The sequence below is a fragment of the Homo sapiens genome, chromosome 20 (assembly GCF_000001405.40).
Source record: "Homo sapiens chromosome 20, GRCh38.p14 Primary Assembly".
NCBI classification, from domain to species: Eukaryota; Metazoa; Chordata; class Mammalia; order Primates; family Hominidae; genus Homo; species Homo sapiens.
This window is the reverse complement of record NC_000020.11, coordinates 13,963,916-13,984,508: the sequence shown is the minus strand read 5'-3', so window position 1 is coordinate 13,984,508 and position 20,593 is coordinate 13,963,916. Positions and strand designations below refer to the sequence as shown.

General features: G+C 39.4%; 1 protein-coding gene and 1 pseudogene across 21 annotated transcripts in view; both read left to right on the top strand.

The window, feature by feature from the left end:
• The window catches only part of SEL1L2 (SEL1L2 adaptor subunit of SYVN1 ubiquitin ligase), a 146,087-nt gene that overhangs the window by 10,825 nt on the left and 114,669 nt on the right, over positions 1 to 20,593 (top strand). The window lies entirely within an intron of this gene.
• Positions 11,085 to 11,193, top strand: RNU6-278P (RNA, U6 small nuclear 278, pseudogene; annotated as a pseudogene).

Genomic DNA, 20,593 nt, shown 5'->3' with positions numbered 1-20,593 from the left:
TGGATATCAAGGCTAAAGAGATTATCACGGAAGTCCAAGGTGAGAGAGTACTAAGAACATAGAAATTGCCAACAATGCCAAATGCCACAGAGAATGGGGAATGAGTCAGCAAGTGACCATGAAATTCAATAGCTTGAGAATTTTTATGTTTCCAGGACAGTTTCAGTGGAGAAGCATGAACAGAAACCTGATTTCAAGGCTGAGTGCGGTGGCTCACACCTGAAATCCCAGCACTTTGGGAGGCCAAGGCGGGCAGATCACCTGAGGTCAGGAGTTCGAGACAAGCCTGGCCAACATGGTGAAACCCCATGTCTACTAAATATACAAAAATTAGCCAGGCGTGGTGGCATGTGCCTGTAATCTCAGCTACTCAGGAGGCTGAGGCAGGAGAATCACATGAACCCAGGAGGCAGAGGTTGCAGTGAGCTTAGATCACGCCACTGCACTCAAGCCTGGGTGACAGAGACTTCAACTCAAAAAAAAAAAAAAGGAATCTGATTTCAATTGGTAAAAGTGAACATGAAGAGAGAAAGTAGAGACATAATGATTATAGAGTTCTTCCTGGATTGTGGCAGTGTTCAGGATCAGACTCTAGCTATCAATAGATCGTTCATTAATTGTGGGTGTATAGAGAACCAGGGAAGGAGTTAGTGGAAGAGAAAACAGTTATTTTTTAAAAGCTAGTGCTGGCGGGCCACAGTGGTTCATACCTACAATCCCAGCACTTTGGGAGGTCCAGGCGGGCAGATCACGTGAGGTCGGGAGTTTGAGACCAGCCTGACCAACATGGAGAAACCCCGTCTCTACTAAAAATACAAAATTAGCTGGGCGTGGTGGTGCATGCCTGTAATCCCAGCTACTCCAGAGGCTGAGGCGGGAGAATCGCTTGAACTTGGGAGGCAGAGGGTTGCAGTGAGTTGAGATCGTGCCATTGCACTCCAGCCTGGGCAACAAGAGCGAAACTCTGTCTCAAAAAAAAACAAAAACAAAAACAAAACAAAAAACAAAAGCTAGTGCTAAAAGACCTAAGATTCATAGGTAAAATTAGCCCTTAACCTCACTTTTTTTCCCTCTCTCTGCCCCTCTACCCTATTTCTCAAGGCAAAACAGACAGGTCTGCCCTTTTTCATTCAGATACACCTTGCAAGCTTGCATGTTGCCTTTTTATTCATTTTTTCACTTGATACTCATTGTATTTTGATTTTGCCTATATAAAATTATTGAGGGGGACATAACTATTCAATTGTCCCTGACTCTACGTTCGCCTAGGGAAATTCTTAAAAAGTTACTGAGTTATTTCCCTTTTGGTAAATCCTCAGAGTGAAATAGTGATGGAAAATGATGGAAGGAATGAACAGTCCATCCCAAAGTATATGGCTTAGAAAAATGGAAGGAAAACTAATCATGTTAAACTAATCATGTGTTTTTTTCTCTCTTCACTCTATCAACTTGGCTGCTGCTTTTTTTTTTTTTTTTTTTTTTTTTGAGATGGAGTCTTGCTCTGTTGCCCAGACTGGAGTGCAGTGGCGTGAACTCAGCTCACTGCAACCTCCGCCTCCTGGGTTCAAGCAATTCTTCTGCCTCAGCCTCCCGAGTAGCTGGGACTACAGGTGCTCACCACCACGCCCAGCTAATTTTTGTATTTTTAGTAGAGACGGGGTTTCACTATGTTGGCCAGGATGGTCTCAGTCTCCTGACCTTGTAATCCACCCGCCTTGGCCTCCCAAAGTGCTGGGATTAAGGTGTGAGCCACCGTGCCTGGCCTGCTGCTGCTTTAAGGTAGTGTAAAATATATCACTGAGGCAGAGAAAAGGCATTGCCAGGAGTTCTGGCTCTAGATCATCCAGGGTCCTGTCTCCCATCTATTTCTTCTCTTTCTTATTTATTTATTTACATCTCTCTTAGAAACAATTTTTTCTTTTTTCTTTTTTTTAATTTTTTGTTTACAATGATAGAACTTGCTACTGTCTCGGAATATACTTTTTTTTTTTTTTTTTTTTGGCAGAGTCTCATTCTGTCTCCTGGGCTGGAGTGCAGTGGCACGATCACAACTCACTATAGGCTCGACTTCCCAGGCTCAAGCATTCCTCACACCTCCACCTTCCAACTAGCTGGGACCTCAGGCATGCACCACCATGCCAGGCTAATTTTTGTATTTTTTGGAGAGAGAGGATCTCGCTGTGTTGCTCAGTCTGGTCTTGAACTCCTGAGCTCAAACGATCCTCCTGCGTCAGCCTCCCAAAATGCTGGGATTACAGGCATGAGCCACCATGGCTGGCCCCATCTATTTCTTTCTAGTAGTAACTCCTATCATACACTTCTGTGATTAGAAAGGCAAAGCAAAACAACAAAAAGTTAATAGCAACTCTCTCAGACACTCACCTATCCAGCAGCTCTCTATCCCAGTTGAAAAGGGCACATAGCTCATCAATCTCACAGTAACCAGAGTCCAGAAAGCAGTTGCCTCACAGTCATGTCTAGGTCCCTGTGTGGTCCAGAAGGAGGCCACATAAAGACCAAGCCCTGGACATGTTGCAGAGGAGCTGCAGCCTAAGCAGTAGAAGCAGGAAATATCCTGCTGCTTCAGAAATGTTCTTGCTTCTACCAGTGCTATTTTGAATAACCTATGGAATTGAGAATTTCTAAATTACCTTTGCTTTCATTAAATTCTTTCATGTTGTACCTGTAACCAGGGAAAAGACAAACTGCAAGTATCTGGAGCATCTCTCCCTGAAAAGAAGCAGGAGAGACCAGGTGTTATGACAGGACTGATGACTGCAAGAGAGAAGTTTGATAACTGTGTTATGTGAGGGATCAGTAAAAAAGCACATTTCTCTTTTGTGAGTTTCCTGAAAGTTATAAGGCTTTTTCACATCTTCATATCTTAGACTTGTCTGAATGGTTTCTGATTTTGTATTTTTTTCACTGACAAATATTAATTGCATAGTTATGGGGCACAATGTGATGTTTTGATATATGTATATGTTGGGCAATGATTAAGTCAGACTAATTAACATATCCATCCCTTCATATAAGTACCATTTTTTGTGGTGAGAACATTTGAAATCTACTATTTTAGTAATTTTGAAATACAGAATACGTTATTAACTATAGTCACCATGCTGTGCAACATCTAAAACTTATTGTTACCATCTAATTGAAACTGTACTCTTTGACCAACCTCTCCCCATTCCCCACACCCCCCTCCCCAGCCTCTGATAACCACCATTCTATTCTCTATTTCTTTCTTTCTTTTTTTTAGGGGGGTTGTGGAGTTTTGCTCTCGTTGCCCAGGCTGGAGTGCAATGGCACGATCTCGGCTCACTGCAACCTCCACCTCCCGAGTTCAAGTGATTCTCCTGTCTCAGCCTCCCAAGTAGCTGGGACTATAGGTGCACACCACCATGCCCCGCTAATTTTGTATTTTTAGTAGAGACGGGGTTTCACCATGTTGGCAAGGCTGCTCTCAAACTTCTGACCTCAGGTGATCCACCCGCCTTGGCCTCTCAAAGTGCTGGGATTACAGGCGTAAGCCACCGGGCCCAGCCTCTACTCTCTATTTTTATGAGTTTCAACTCTTTAGATTCCACATATAAGTGAGATCAGGAAGTATTTCTTTCTCACTTCCTGGCTTATTTCATTTAGTATAATGTACTCCAGGCTCATCCATGTTGTTGCAAATAGCATGATTTCCTTTTTTCTAAGGCTGAATAATATTTCATTGTATATATATACAACATTTTCTTCATCCATTCATCCATTGATGGACACTTAGGTTGTTTCCATATCCTGACTATTGTAAATCATGCTGTAATGAATATGGGAGCGCAGACATCTTTTCGACATACTGATTTCGAGTCCTTTGGATATATACCTAGAGGGGGGATTGCTGGATCATATGCCAATTCTTTTCTTTGAAGAATCTCTATCTATGTTGTTTGACATAATGGCTGTACCAATTTATATTCCCACTCACAGTGTATAAGATTTCCCTTTTCTCTGGCCAGGTGTGGTGTCTCACACCTGTAATCCCAGCACTCTGGGAGGCCGAGGCAGGTGGATCACCTGAGGTGAGGAGTTTGAGACCAGCCTGGCCAACATGGTGAAACCCTATCTCTACTAAAAATAAAAAAATTAGCCAGGCACATGCCTGTAATCCCAGCTACTTGGGAGCCTGAGGCAGGAGAATAGCTTGAACCCAGGAGGCAGAGGTTGCAGTGGGCTGAGATCACGCCACTGCACTCCAGCCTGGGCAACAAAGCAAGACTCTGTCTCAAAAAAGATTTCCCTTTTCTCCACATCCTCACCAACACTTCTCATCTTTCATCTTTTTTCTAACAAGTGTGAGGCAATATCTCGTTGTGATTTTAATTTGCATTTTCCTGATGATTAGTGATATTGAACATTTTCTCATATATCTGTTGGCCATTTGTATGTCTTCTTTCAAGAAATGTCTATTCAGGGTTTTTGCCCATTTTTTAATCAAGTTGTTTGTTTTCTTCCTATTTAGTTGAGTTTCTTATATATTTTAGATACTAGTCCTTTATCAAATGTATGGTTTGCAAATATTTTCTCCCAATTCATGGGTTGTCTGTTCAATTTATTAATTGTTTTCTTTGCTGTACAGATTTTTAGTTTGATGTAAATTCTGTTTGTCTGTTTTCATTTTGTTGCTTATGCTTTTTGGGGTTATATTTAAGAAATCACTACCCAGGCTAATACTATGAAGCTTTTCCTCTATATTTTCTTTTAGTACTTTTAGAGTTTCTGGTCTTATGCTTAAATCTTTTTTATTTTTTTGAAATGACAAAGTGACTGGGTTTATTTGTAAGTAACTAGATTAAATTTTCTTCCATTGTGCCAATATGTAGCCCAACACAGAGATTAAGTGCCAGTTTCAGGAAAATAAAGTTATATTTTTGTCAGCCTTGAATGTATGTCTTCTGAATATTTTTTCTTTTGTTTTTCGTTGATACATAATCATGCATCAATTTCATCAACGATGCAGAGTGATACTTCAGTACATATATATAATGTGTAATGATCAAATCAGTTATTAGCATAGCACCTCATTTATTATTTCTTTGTGTTGTAAACATTCAAAATCTTCTCTTCTAGCTTTTCCGAAATATGCAATAAGTTGTTAACCATATTTATCCTATAGTACCATAGAACACTAGAATTTATTTCTCTTATCTAGCTGTATTTTTGTATCAATTAACCAACTTCTCCCTATCCTCCTCTCTTCCCATCCTTCCTATTATCTAATAACCACAATTCTACTCTGTCACTTATATGAGCTCAATTCTTTCAGCTTCCACATATGAGTGAGAAAATGCAGCGTTTGTCTTTCTGTGCCTGACATTTCACTTAACATTATGTCCTCTGGGCTCATCCATGTTGCAAAAATGACGATTACATTCTTTTTTTCTTTTCTCTTTTTTCTTTTTGAGACGAGTCTCACTCTGTTGCCCAGTCTAGAGTGCAGTTGCATGATCGCAGCTCATTGCAACCTCCACCTTCTGGTTTCAAGCGATTCTTGTGCCTCAGCCTCCCAAGTGACCGGAAATTACAGGCGTGCACGATCATGCCTGGCTAATTTTTGTATTCTTAGTAGAGGCGGGGTTTTGCCATGTTGGGCAGGCTGGTCTCAAACTCCGGACCTCAAGTGTTCCACTCGCCTTGGCCTCTCCCAAAGTGTTGGGATTACAGGCGTGAGCCACCGCACCTGGTGATTTCATTCTTTTTCATGGCTGAATAATATTTCATTGTGTATATTTTTATTTTATTTTTTATTTGTATACTTATTTTATATTTTTATATTTTCGTTTATCTGTTGATGAATATTTAAGTTGACTTCATATCTTGGTTATTGTGAATAGTGCTGCAATAGATATGGAGGCACAGGTGTCTCTTCAGTATACTGATTTCCTTTTCTTTGGATAAATAGTAGTAGGATTGATGGATCATATGGTAATTCTATTTTTAGTTTTTTGAGAAACCTCTATACTGCTTTCCATAATGGCTGTACCAATTTACTTTCCACTAACAGTGTTTAAATGTTCCCTTTTCTCCACATCCTTGCCAGCATTTGTTAATTTTTGTCTTTTTGATAATAGAGCTATTCTATTGTGTTTAGGTTTTTAATACATTTTGAGTTGATTTTTGTATGCCTTGTGTGATAAGGGTCCAATTTCATTCTTCTGCAGTGGATATACATTTTTCCCAACACCATTTGTTGAAGACAGTGTCCTTTCCTCATCATGTGTTCTTGGCACCTTTGTTGAAAATCAATTGACTGTAAATACGTAAGTTTACTTCTGAGCTCTCTATCCTGTTCCGTTGGTCAGTGTGTCTGTTTTTAGTCCCGTATCATGCTGTTTTGAGTATTATAGATTTGTAATATATTTTGAAGTCAAGTAGTGTGATGTCTCTAGCTTTGTTCTTTTTGCTCAAGATTGTTTTGGCTATTTGGGGTCTTTGGTAGTTCCACACAAAATTAATGGCTGTTTTTTTTCTATTTTTGTGAAAAATGATGTTGGGATATTGATAGAGATTGTATTGAATCTGTAGATTGCTTTGAGTAATGTGGACATTTTTACAATATTAATTTTTCCAATCCATGAATATATCTTTTTATTTATTTATGCCTCCTTGAATTTTTTTCATCAAATTTTTATAATTTTTAGTATACAGATCTAAAAGGTTTCTGTATCAAACAATTACTACTACTTTTTGGATCTATTCAGTAGGGTAGCACTTATTGGAGAGAGGACAGTCTTCGGCCTGGGGAGAGCTAGGGGAACAGACCCCCTTGCAGAACACATAAATACTCATGCATCAGCTTTATCTCAGCTTCATTGAGTTCTTTTTGTCTGACAGGAATCACTCTTCCCAATTCCACTCCACTTTTTTTTGCACATAAGGGTTCATAAGTCTCTCCCATTTTATGTATATCCCAAGAATTCTGTTTGCCAGTGTTAGCCTTCTACCTGCTCCTAATGGATCCCAAGATCTATCCCCCCATCAATTGAAACTGCTTTCTCAAAGAACGCCAACAGCTCATTGATTACCAATCCAGCGGCCTCTTGCTGTTCTTTCTGCTAACTTCTGTGCACCATGTGACATTACTCACCATCTTCTTTTTCCCTCTTCCTCTGTATAGCCATCTCAGGCTCTTTCATGGGCTTGTCTTTCTCAATTCACCTTTTAAATGCTGTGCCCAAGGTTCGGTGCTTGGCTTTCTTGCTCTTCATATTCTATGCTTCTTGTGCTCTCACCCAAGCCCCACAACTTTGTTTACATGTGTGTCTATATCTCATACCCTCCTTCTAATCTCTAGACCAGCATATCCAGCTACATGATGATCATGAACAATGTATGCAGATTCCTTAAATCAACATTTGTTTTCAAGGTTACTTCCTCCTGTGTTTTTTCTCTTGTTAATGGCATCAACTATCCTTCCCTGCTCACCTTGTTCTCAAGTACTCCAAATTGCATGATTATACAGTTCTAATTCCCCTAAGTATCATTTAATTCAGTGTTTTTACAGATAAGACTGAGGCCCACCATGGTGAAATTGCTTCTCCCGGGTCATCTTGCAAAGCTAAATCTAGAACCAGAATCTCCTAATCGTTTATATTTATTCATTCCCTTATTCTTTTACCAAATCTTGTCAATTCTACGTCCTCAGGGGTTTTCCCATCTATGCATTTTCACTGTCTCAATTTAAAATCTCATTTTAGTATCTTTTAACTACACTAATGCACTTCTAACTTGCTTTTCTCTTATCCACATACATTACTGCCAGAAATAATATTCCTCAACTCCAAATCTATCCTCATTATGTTCTCCTGCTGAGACATCCACTTTATATAGAATAAAGGTCTAATGTCTTGTCCAGTAGTCAAAATCCTATGTGATTAGATCCTAGCTTCCTTTCTATTTTGTCTTAGCTACACACGTATTTTATTTCAACCAATTCAAACTATTAGCTACTCAGTATACCTAGCTAACTCTCCCACCTCCATGTCTTTCTCAATCTGTTCTTCAGACGATCTGTCAACAGGAGTGGGCTGTCATCCGATCTTCTTCCCCATCACCGCCATAAATCTAAAGTATAGTATGTTGTTCATCTTTTAAGGTCTATCTTAAGTTCTACTTCCTCTTTAAAAAAACAGACAAACAACAACAACAACAAAAAAAAACAGTCCGGGTGCTGTGGCTTATCCCTGTAATCCCAGCACTTTGGGAGGCCGAGGCCGGTGGATCACGAGGTCAGGAGATCGAGACCAGCCTGGCCAACATGGAGAAACCCTGTCTCTACTAAAAATACCAAAATTAGCTGGGTGTGGTGGCATGCACCTGTAATCCCAGCTATTCGGGAGGCTGAGGCAGGAGAATCGCTTGAACCTGGGAGGCAAAGGTTGCAGTGAGCAGAGATGGCACCACTGCATTCCAGCCTGGCAACAGAGCGAGACTCTGTCTCAAAACAAACAAACAAACAAACAAACAAAAAACCTTGGTGGCTCATGCTTGTAATCCCAGCACTTTGGGACTTTGGGAGGGTGAAGCAAGAGGATCTCTTGAGCTCAGGAGTTCAAGACTAGCCCGGACAACATAGTAAGACCCTGTCTCTATAAACAAAAAACAAAACAAAACAAAAGTTTCCCAACCCCTTCCTAATAGCACATTGTGCCTTTATTGTCCTATGCATCAAAGTCTCATAACTAAGTTAGTTTTTAACTCCCTTAGCAGATTGCTAACTACGTGATTACAGAGATTGTGTTGTACTTGCCTTTTAGATCTCCTTTAGCTCATTGTAGAACTTGGCATTTAGTAGATGCTCAGAAGCACTTATAAAATTAAATAGTAGTTAACATACATGTAATGCTATACTTTGTAAAATACATTCCCAAAACCTGTGGAGTAGGTCATTCAAATGTTTTTATTATTCTAAATTTATAGATATTTAAAATTCTGAAGAACAGAGTTTAGTAGGACCTGAATTCTGTGGTGGGAATCAAAGGCGTTTACTCTGTATTACCTCTGTTATTTTAAGTTTGAATTCTCCAAAGGACTGTGCTGCGTATTTTCCTCACAATCATATTTACTTGCCTCAGGCTGTTTGTGCATACTATTAAACAGCCAGATGAAAAATTAAAAATTCAATCAATCATCCAAATATTTTTAAATGTAATATACATATGTTTGCTTTCATATAGAACAAACAGCCAGGTGATTGATTGAGCTATTTGCTTTTCAACCAGTTGTTTTGGCAGTATGATTATTATATAAACTCTAATAGTGACAATCAGTTTTTTATAGATTTTCTAATTTTACTGGATTCTTCCATTTATTTACTATAGTCATCTAGTCTTATTTATATCATTTATCAGCCCATAAAATGTAGTAAAAAAAACCTGGTTCTTATGACTTCTTTAAGCCTGTCCCCACAGACTTGGAACCAAGATTATAATGCTGGGATTGAAGAGAATATTCTGAGATTGGATAAAATGATTTACACCCTGCAGCTTCCATGATTGAGAGATTTAGGGAGAAAAAAACAAGAAAACATTAACTCTGGAAACAAGCAGGAGTGTCTTTGAAATCATCAGGAATTCCCAAGAGACAAAATAATCGGTGGAATTGAATTCAAAGAGAAAACTTTTGCCCAAAATGTGCAAAAGAGAATACTTCTAGGAAAGATGTACAAGTAGGTTCAGGGAAAAAAAGGAAGGAGCCCTGGTGCAGTGGCTCATGCCGGTAATCCCAGCACTTCAGGAGGCTGAGGCGGATAGATCACCTGAGGTCGGGAGCCTGGCCAACATGGTGAGACCCCGTCTCTACTAAAAATACAAAAATTAGTCAGGCATGGTGGTGGGTACCTGTAATATCAGCTACTTGGGAGGCTGAGGCACGAGAATCTCTTGAACACAGGAGGCGGAGGTTGCAGTAAGCCAGGATCATGCCACTGCACTCCAGCCTGGGGGACAGAGTAAGACTCTGTCTCAAAAAAAAAAAAAAAAAAAAAGAGAGAGAGAGAGAAAAGGAAAAAAAATAAAAAGCAGTAGGAGCAGCCTAGCAGTTCTGACCCCTACTCCCCTCTCAACCGCCACTACCACCATATACAGAGGAAAGGGCAAGACTTAGGAAAGGCTAGATTACTAGGTTGTTGGACCAACCCTCCCACTGAAATAAAATGATACATGTAAAATACAAACTTCTTAAATGCATCAGAGAGTTGAGAAGACAGTGAAGTACCAGACAAAAAATCTAGGGAAAATCTAGAATCTAGAGAAGTAAGCACAAGTGCCCCTGAGCAGAGCCAGGACTTGCCCCATCCTGGCCCCAGCCCTGCACCTGAACATCAAAGCAGCTTTTGCCCCTGTGCTAGACAAGTGTAGACATTAGTTTTAATGGCCACACAAAGAAGATAGAATCCAATACTCTAGACCCGTCCAAGGTGAGAAGTATAATAAGAGACCTTTTCAACGGAAAATGCTATACTCTTAAAATAAGGGCACACTACCCCTTCCCAAGTCCAGGGATCAGCAGGACTTAACTTTTAGCAGAGCAAAGAGAAAAAGAAAAAGAAAAATATATATCTCTGAGAAATTGTGTGGTCATGTGCCAGCCCTCACAGCTTGGGTTTACATTGCTTAGGGATTCCCAGGCACCCCAACCCTAGAACTAGATCTAAGGTTAGATCTAGGCACCTAGGTTAAACATCAGGAACCTGGCAAAAGTAAATTCATGTTTTCTCCATGGAAAGACAACTTCATCATAGGCCTCAAAGAATCCACTCTAATAAAGTGTGCAGTAGATAGTCAAAAATAAGTGCAAAAAGAGACAAATCGCCATTAGGTGGGAGCATTTGTGGTCGGCATTTGTGCCAGAGACATAGGATGCTACTGCAAATGGCTAGTGATATTCATGGAGTCTCTATTCCTAGAAGACTAGCTCTTGTTACATTCTGATAGCACACTCTGCAATACCCACAAAGTCACTGGTAGAAAGCTGAGATAATTCGTTATAGCATTCACAGACAGGCTAACGGAAAATCCAAGCCTAACACGAGGACATTAGGACTCAGCAGTGCTTACATATTCTACAGTTTGAACAATTCAGAGAATATTGGCATGGCCCTTGCACAAGGGTGACTCACAAATTTGTGAAGCATTCCATATTTTTTAAAAAGCAAACATTTGAAGACTTTTAAACATAAAATACCATAATATGTATTTAGAGAGGTTACTTAATCCATGAAACAAGAACAGGTTTTAATGAAAGAAAAAAGATATTTTAGAAATGAAATATCTGATAGCAAAAGTGAAAACCTTAAGGCTGAATAGCAAAATTGTCATAGCTGAAGAGCAACCTGGGTGCTCAAGATCAAACTGAGAAATTCCCTCACATCATAATACAAACAGACAGGGAGGTGATACATATGAAATAAAGGTTAAGGCACTTGGAGGATACATACAAACGTTACAATATCCATACAATAGGATTTCCAGAAAGAGAAAATAAAACTCAGAGGAAAAATAAATCAAATAAAATTCCCTAGATATGAAAAAAGACTCAAATTTTCACATTAAGGCCCACTTTGTGCCAAGCAAGAACACTGGGAAAAGACCCGCTCATAGAAAATAGTGGTAAAATGTGAGTACTTTATGGATAATGAGAAAATCCTAAAAGCTTCTAAAGAGAAAAACATGTTATTTACAAACAAAAAGCACCCTCTTGACTTCAGATTCTTTAGCCACACTGAGTATAAGAAGACACTAGAGAAATATTTTCTAAAATACTGAGGTGAAAATGATTTTGAACTTAGAATTCTATAATCTGACAATCAAACAAGTGTAATGACATTTTCAAACATGAGACATTTTCATACATGAATGGATTCAGAAAATTTATCACCTACAAACCCTAGCTGAAATAATAGCTAGAAGACATGCTCCAGCAAAATGAAAAATGAATCCAAGAGAAGACTGGAAGTCAGTGGTAAGCCAAGTAACCTTTAAGACTTATGATAAATCTAAATAAAGGCTTATTTTATTTTTTAGAAATACAACAATCACAGAGATTTCTTTTTAAAAATCCTTTTCACAGTAGCAACAGATGTTATAAAATAGCTAGGAATAAATTTAATGAAGCTGGAGTAAAATACCCAAGGAATAAAAATTAAAGTGTATCTGGAGAACATTAAACAAAGAAACGTGAATAAATTAAAGCTGTACATCTGAATGAATCTGTGTTGCAAATATGCCAAGTTTTTGTAAATTAACATTTCCAATCAATTGTAAATTAACAATTCCAGTCAAAATATCAACAGATTTCTAAATGAATCTGACAAGCTTATTCTAAAATTTATCTAGAAAAGAAATTACGCCGGAATTCCCAAGATAAGTTTCACAAAGAGGAACATAGAGGGCGTGTGTGTGTGTGTCCTCACACACACAGAGAAGTTCCTGCTCAACCAGATAGTAAAATATGCAATTATAAATATACAGTAATTAGATATACAGTAATTAGGGTATTGCCAGAAGAATAGAGGAGTAGATCAGGAAAACAGAACAGAGAGTTAAAAAATGGACCAGTGTATGAATAAGAATTTAGTACCTGAAAGAAGGTTTTAAAATGTAATAGGAAAGAGATGGATTGTAATGATTGCTAGTGACAAATTGTCCATTTATTTAGGACAAAATGGTAGATCCCACTTCATACGAATCACAAAAATGATCCAGATGGATTAAAAATGTAAATTGTAGCCAGGCACGGTGGCTCACGCCTGTAATCCCAACACTTTGGGAGGCTGAGGTGGGTGGATCACCTGCGCTCAGGAGTTCAAGACCAGCCTGGGCAACATGGTGAAACCTCATCTCTACTAAAAATACAAAAAAAAAAAAAATTAGCTAGCTATGGTGGCACATGCCTGTGGTCCCAGCTACTCAGGAGGCTGAGGTGGGAGGATTGCTTGAGCCTGGGAGGTGAAGGTTGCAGTGAGCTGAGACTGTGCCACTGCACTTCAGCCTGGATGACAGAGTGAGACCCCATCTCAACAAAACAAAACAAAACAAAACAAAAGTACATTGTAAAAACAAAACTATAAAAATAGTTTAAGGAAATACATTAAAATATAGATTCAAATGCTTGGTAAGAAAACCTTCTTGAACAAAACACAAACAAAAAGGTTATAAGTGAGGAAGGAATGGATAATTTTCACTGCTTCAGGATTTAAGACCTCTATGGTGAAAAGGATACAATAAACAGTTAAAAGGCTGAAAACAGACTGAAGAATATATTTACAACATACACACCATATCAAATAACATCTAGAACATATAAGGAATTCCTAAAGATTTTTTTTAAAAAAGAGCCTGATAGAAAAATGGGCAAATGACCTAACAGTCAGTTCCTTAGAGAGGAAATATAAATGCTCCCAAATGTGAAAAGATGGTTAACTGTACCAGTAATCATGCAAATGAAAATTAACAGTGAGACACCAGTATTATCACAATACATTGAAAAAAATTGAAACGTGCCAGTTATGGTGAGAAAAAATTAATATTCCTATATAGTAATAGATATAGTATATATAATATATATAGTAATATATATAGGAATATTAATTTCTATTAATTAATATGTGTGACAGTATTTTTCTTTTTGAGACGGAGTTTTACTCTTGTTACCCAGGCTGGAGTGCAATGGCACAACCTTGGCCTACTGCAAACTCCACCCGCCAGGTTCAAGTAGTTCTCTTGTCTCAGCCTCCCGAGTAGCTGGGATTACAGGCACCTGCCACCACGCTTGGCTAATTTTGTATTTTTAGTAGAGACAATGTTTCACCATGTTGGCCAGGCTGGTCTCCAACTCCTGACCTCAGGTGATCTGCCCACCTCAGCCTCCCAAAGTGCTAGGATTAGAGGCGTGAGCCACTGCATCCGGCCATGGCAGTATTATATATAACATACGTATACTAAGTGTGGAAGTAGAATGGTAGCTTTTTGGAATGCCAATTTGGCATTATCTATTAATATTTAAAATGAGCATACTACCTCTCAAATGAGCAAATTTACTTCTTCTTGTCCACCCTAACAAACCCTTATACATGTTTTATAGGAAACATGTTCAAGGTTATCCCTTACAGTATTGTTTGTCATGGCAAAATAATTAAAAACATCATAAATGTCTATCCATATTTAGTAATTAAATGTCAACCACTGTTGCAGAGACAACTGTCTTCCAACCTTGAGATTCTGGATTTTATTTCACGGTATGTCAGAAGACAATTCCAAACTTGCGATTCTTTGACTCTAAGTTTTCTATTGTAACTTAAAAGGCAGTTTGGTTAAATTTTAGATCCAGCAGCAGAATGACATGCTGTGTTATAATAAAAGTATTTAATCAAACAACATTTTTAATTAAGAAACTGTGCAGGGTGCTAGAGGCAAACTTTAAAAAAAAAAAAAAAAGAGGATGGAGCACTTTCTTCAGAGATCTTACAATCCGTAGAATAAAATTCAATATATGAGTGGGTGCTAACATAAGTGACAAGGGAGTACCACTTCCTGAAGATGTACCAAGAACGGATGATGGGTCATTGAAGGCAGTAGTATCCAGTGAGACCTACAGGTAGGAAGGCAAATTTATTTAGTCACTTAACAGATATGTATTAAGAATCTGTTATAGGACAGGAACTATGGTAGGCATCTGGCTCTAATGTTGAAACAGGAAAGACATGTCCTGGAAGGATGAATAACAATTGGATATTCGGAAAAGAATAGGAAAGCATTCCAAATTAGAAGTGCACAAATAAGTAAAATACATGGGTGTGAGAATGAGTAGAATGTACATATGGGGTAGGAGGATACTACCACTTCAATAAGAGCAGGGTGTAGTGGGAAATAAATTGGCTAAGAAAAATAAGATTGGATTATTCAAAGGCTTAAATTGTCAGATAGAAGAAATTAAAAGAAACTTTACTGAGTGCCTAGCAAATGTCAAGCACTTTCACATCCATGATCTCATTTATTTCTGAGAATAACTCTTCCCACTCCCCACCCACGACTGTGCAATTCAAAGAAAAACAAAACACAACAATGTTTTACCTGTTCATGGGGATGTTGGCATGGAGTGAGTAAAACATGATGGAAGATTTGGAGCTTGAGAAAGTGATGATCCCCTTGACAGGGGCAGAATATTGGAGAAAGGAAGGTGACTTGGGAGGGGGCACATGAGAAATAATGATTTAGTTTGTGGGGACATTGGGACTTAGAAATGACAGGAATATATTCAGGCCACCTTGCTGCCTATTTAATCATATTTCAGCCACTTCAACTAGTGACAACAAAACAAGTAGTTTGAGTATTTCCACTCTTCATCACAACCCTAAGTGGAAACTTTCTATCTATTGCAAAATTTCAGCCTTTCAACTAAAGTCACTGTGTGTCTCTAAGCTTAAAAGCTTTAGTGCCCTATTTCTAGAGGACATAATCACATCTTAAAATCACCATTAACAAAGCCTTCATACTTTGTATGAATAGAATTAACTAAGTCAATATATCCATTATACATTTTAGTTCATACATTTGAGCAAGCAAGAAATACAACAGTTTTTTCAACATTGGAATGTAATTTCTGTTTAATGTCAAGCTAATACATTTAATGTCGAGCTATTGTAGTGTTAATTTCTCTTTACCACCTCTCTAGCTCTCTCCCTACTCCTAGTCCAGGGAATGTTTTCTCATTTTGGGAAGAGAGCACAGAAAGCCTTGCAGTTACTTTGATGTTATATCCCAGTTATTCTACATTTATTCTGTTGTCCAGATTGTAAGTCCTTTCTTTTCCTCCAACAGCCAAGAAAATTCGTTTCTTTCTACCACATCATTATTTTTTTCTGAAGCAATGAGCAACTCACTGACTAAATTGGGAAAAGGCCACAGGTACAGAGAAGTACCAAGAAAAACCATCAGTTAATATTGTCATCAGTTAATATGTTCCACCGCATACTCTCATTTATAATTTGCATTTCTCCAAAATTATTTCTCACCTAATGAAGAATTAATCATAAGAATAACATTTATTAGGCACTTGCTATGCGCTAGGCACTGTGCCAGGCACTGTGCCAGGCACATTGCATCAATTATTCAACTATCCTTCAAGGTTGCTGTTAAGCTCTTTACTTGTATCTACAGGAGGTAATTAGGCTTCTGGAAGGAATATTCTCAGCAAAGCTGAGTTATTTGGCCTTCTCTACTCAGTTAAACTTCATAAAAATTAAAATAAGTAACGGAACTATTCCAGAAAAGAATAAATAAAAACCTAGTCCCCAGTAACTTTAGTTTTTATGGAAATTTTGCTATCTTTGCACTTGAAGAAGGAAATGATGAGGAAGAGAGAATAAAAGACTACGAAATATCTTTTCAAGACACTGACACTAAATTACAGACTTTCAGAACATCTACTATATTTTAATTTATATAACTAAGCCATTAGCCTATTACCAAATATATAAAAATACATCAAAATGTATTTGTATTTAGAGACCTTGAAATATCCAGGTTTGGTCTAATTATGTAGAAATAATGATTGTAAATCATTTCTGTTAAGAGAGGAATGGAATAGCTCCCTTCTATCCCTCATATATATGCAATTCTTGCTGTATGGATGTTACAATTATTATATGACTGAGATGGCTCTCTAGGGAACCAAGGTGTTCTCAGAGCATAGAGGTTGGGGGGCAATAATACCCGTCACCCTCTTCATTTCACAGCTCTGGAGAAGAGAAAAGCTGTGTCCTTCAGAATGGGAAGAGCTTAGGTGAGTGGCAGTTAGAATTTGTATTCCTGCCCTTAATGCCAGACAGAACCAGTTGTTAAGGAAAGTTGCCCCCATATGGTTGAAAGTAAGATGGCACTCCCCTTGCAAGTAGGGAAAGGTTCTTGTGAAATTCTACCAGGAAAAGAAATGAGCTGGGACCAGGCAGAAGGCAGTTGAGATATTATAACCAGAGATCTGTCAGTGTATATAGGACTGTATCTGTGCCTTTTAAATATTTTTTCTTCTTTCTTGAATTACTAAATCTGTTTTGAAAATGCCAGTCAGTTTTACATGTGGTAAGGGGAACCAAGAAAAGAGGTTTCAAGGAAAAGGGGGTAGGAGCAGTGATCAGAGCAAGAAAAAGCCAGAGAGAAAGTAAAGTTCAGCAGGAGCTGCTTCTTCCATGGCTTACAAAGTGTAGCTTCTTCACTTTATTTCAGTAAGGGAAGTACTTTTCTCACAGATGCTAATGCTACTTCCTTTAAAAAGATAGGTTTTGGCTGGGCACAGTGGCTGGCTCCTGTAATCCCAGCACTTTGGGAGGCCGAGGCGGGTGGATCACGAGGTCAGGAGTTCAAGACCAGCCTGGTCAATATGGTGAAACCCCCATCTCTACTAAAAATACAAAAATTAGCTGGGCATGGTAGCCCGTGCCTATAGTTCCAGCTACTCAGGAGGCTGAGGTAGAAGAATCGCTTGAACCCAGGAGGCAGAGATTGCAGCGAGCTGAGATTGTGCCACTGCACTCCAGCCTGGGTGACAGAGCAAGATTCCATCTCAAAAAAAAAAAAAAAAAAAAGACAGGTCTCTGGTAACAGAGAAAGAGAGAGGAACTTACATTTGTTATTAAAGTGCCATGTATTTAATAAAACACCAAACAATTTAAACTTTGATTCTATTCTGTCTTCACACTTACTCCAAAAGGTAGGAACAGTATTTCTATTCCCATTTTATAGAAAACTGAGGCTCAGGGAGGTAAAATAACTTAGTAATTTATCCAACTTCTTCACATGGTTAAATAAGAAAATATGAAATGACTATTTCTAAGCATCATTTGGTGGCCAGGCGCAGTGGCTCACACCTGTAATCCCAGCACTTTGGGAGGCCGGGGTGGGTGGATTGCCTGAGGTCAGGAGTTTGTAACCAACCTGGCCCACACAGTGAAACCTCGTCTCTACTAAAAAATAGAAAAATTAGCTGGGTGTGGTAATGGGCGCCTGTAATTCCTGCTACTCAAGAGGCTGAGGCAGGAGAATCGCTTGAACCTAGGAGGCAGAGGTTGCAGTGAGCTGAGATTGTGCCGTTGCACTCCAGCCTGGGCGACAGAGCGAAACTCCGCCTCAAAAAATAAGAAAGAAGAAAGAAGAGGAAGAAGAAGAAGAAGAGGCAAGAAGGAAGAAGAAGAAGAAAACAAACACCAATTGATGATGTCCAAAAATAAGCATCTCACAAATTAAACTAATAAAGAACCTAGAGTCATACATGCGTACCTTGTTTTCTTGCCCTTCACTTTATAGCACTTCACAGATGCTGCATTTTTTATAATTTGAAGGTTTGTGGCAACCCTGTGTTGAGCAAGTCTATCGGCACCATTTTCCCAACAGCATATGCACATTTCGTGTCTCTGTCACATGTGGTAATTCTCATAATATTCCAAAAGTTTTCTTTATTATTGTATCTCTTACGGTGGTCTGTGATCAGTGATTTTTTTTTTTTTTTTTTGAGACAGAATCTTGCTCTTGTCACCCAAGCTGGAGTGCAGTGGTGGTGCAACTTCGGCTCACTGTAACCTCCGCCTCCCAGGTTCAAGCGATTCTCCTGCCTCAGCCTCCCGAGTAGCTGGGACTACAGGCGCATGCCACCACACCCAGCTAATTTTTGTGTTTTTAGTAGAGATGGGGTTTCACCATGTTGGCCAGGATGGTCTTGATCTCTTGACCTCGTGATCTGCCCGCCTCTGCTTCCCAAAGTGCTGGGGTTACAGGCGTGAGCCACTGTGCCCGACCAAAGACTTGTAGGTTTTTAAGGAGATGGGTGTCTTGATGAAAACAGTACTTAGGGAAAATTATTCTAAGGGTAGACGGAAATTAGATTAAAATGAGAACAATTATAATTAAATATATTAGGAGGCTATTGTATGAATGCAGGCATGAAATGACTGGGTCTGATTTACGCTGTGCTTTCCTCAGAAAACTAAGTACTCACCCAACAAAAATCCCATTGGGAGAATTTTCTCTGGGCCCTTGTAGTGCAAATCATCTCTCTTCTTCTATGTATCACCAGTTTTCTCCCCATTTCTGGTACTTACTGTCTGCACACTTCTAGTCATTTATTCCCAGCCTGACCTGCTCTCGAAACTTAGTCCCAGGTTTTAGAATCATCCTCGTTGCCAGGTTGACCTCTTACTATTTGTCTCACCTCTGTCAGCCTGAATGAGTGTCTTCTCTGGATTCTCCTGTTACCTGTGTTTTTCTGCTTTCCATTCATCACAGTGTGATTCCCAGGGCTTTACTTCTTAAGTGGCAGCCTATGTGGGAATCAGTATCCCTTCCTACTTCCTGACCTCCTGCACCCACAGCTGTCCACTCCAAACTCCCCACTGGCCCAGCTCAACCCTCACATCATGCCAGAGAGAAGAGGTGAGGACTGAGCACTGAGAAATACAAAATCATTAGGAGACTCAAAACAAAAGAGAAACTCTCAAATAGGGGGTTAGAAGGAAGAAGGATATCGGAGATAGTATAACGTCACAGAAGCTGGTGTACAACAGCGTCTAAAAAGAAAGACTGTAAAGCTAAGCAAATATGTCTGGGGGAAGATGTCATTGAATGAGACAAGAAAAAGAGGTCATTACTGGCCTTTGAGAAAGAAGTTATCTATGTGAAAAGGTTAAAAGCTAGATTTCAAGAATGTAAAGTAGGAAAAAAAAAGACTATTAAGAAGCAGAGATGGCCGCCAGCACTTTGGAAAGCCGAGGCGCATGGATCACCTGAGGTCTCGGGAGCTTGAGACCAGCCTGGCCAACATGGAGAAACCCCGTCTCTACTAAAAATACAAAATTAGCCAGGGGTGGTGGTGCATGCCTGTAATCCCAGCTACTCCGGAGGCTGAGGCAGGAGAATCGCTTGAACCAGGGAGGCGGAGGTTGCGGTGAGCTGAGATTGCGCCATTGCACTCCAGCCTGGGCAACAAGAGCGAAACTCTGTCTCAGAAAAAAAAAAAAAAAAAAAATGAAGAGATAGCAGATAGCAGAGCACACCACACATTTACAATGTGCTCAACGAAAAAGGGCAGGTTGCATTTGGGGGTGGGGTGGGGTGGGGTCCTTGGGCTGGCTCTTCCTATGCTGACAATTTCTTACACAAAAGCAAGGATTGCAAAGACTCCAAATTCAAACTTGGCCTCCCAGGTTTTTAATAAAGATATATTTGACAAAATAGGGGGATAGAACATATTTTCTTTGACTGTTAGCTTGATTGATGACATTTAAATATTTAGACATACAGGCCGGGTGCAGTGGCTCATGCCTGTAACCCCAACACTTTGGGAGGCCGAGGCGGGTGGATCATGAGGTCAGGAGTTCAAGACCAGCCTGGCCAACATGGTGAACCCCCATCTGTAAGAAAAATACAAAAAAAAATTAGCTGGGAGTGGTGGCACGTGCCTGTAATCCCAACTACTCGGGAGGCTGAAGCAGGAGAATCGCTTGGACCCAGGAGGCAGAGGTTGTAGAGAGCTGAGATGGTGCCTTTGCACTCCAGCC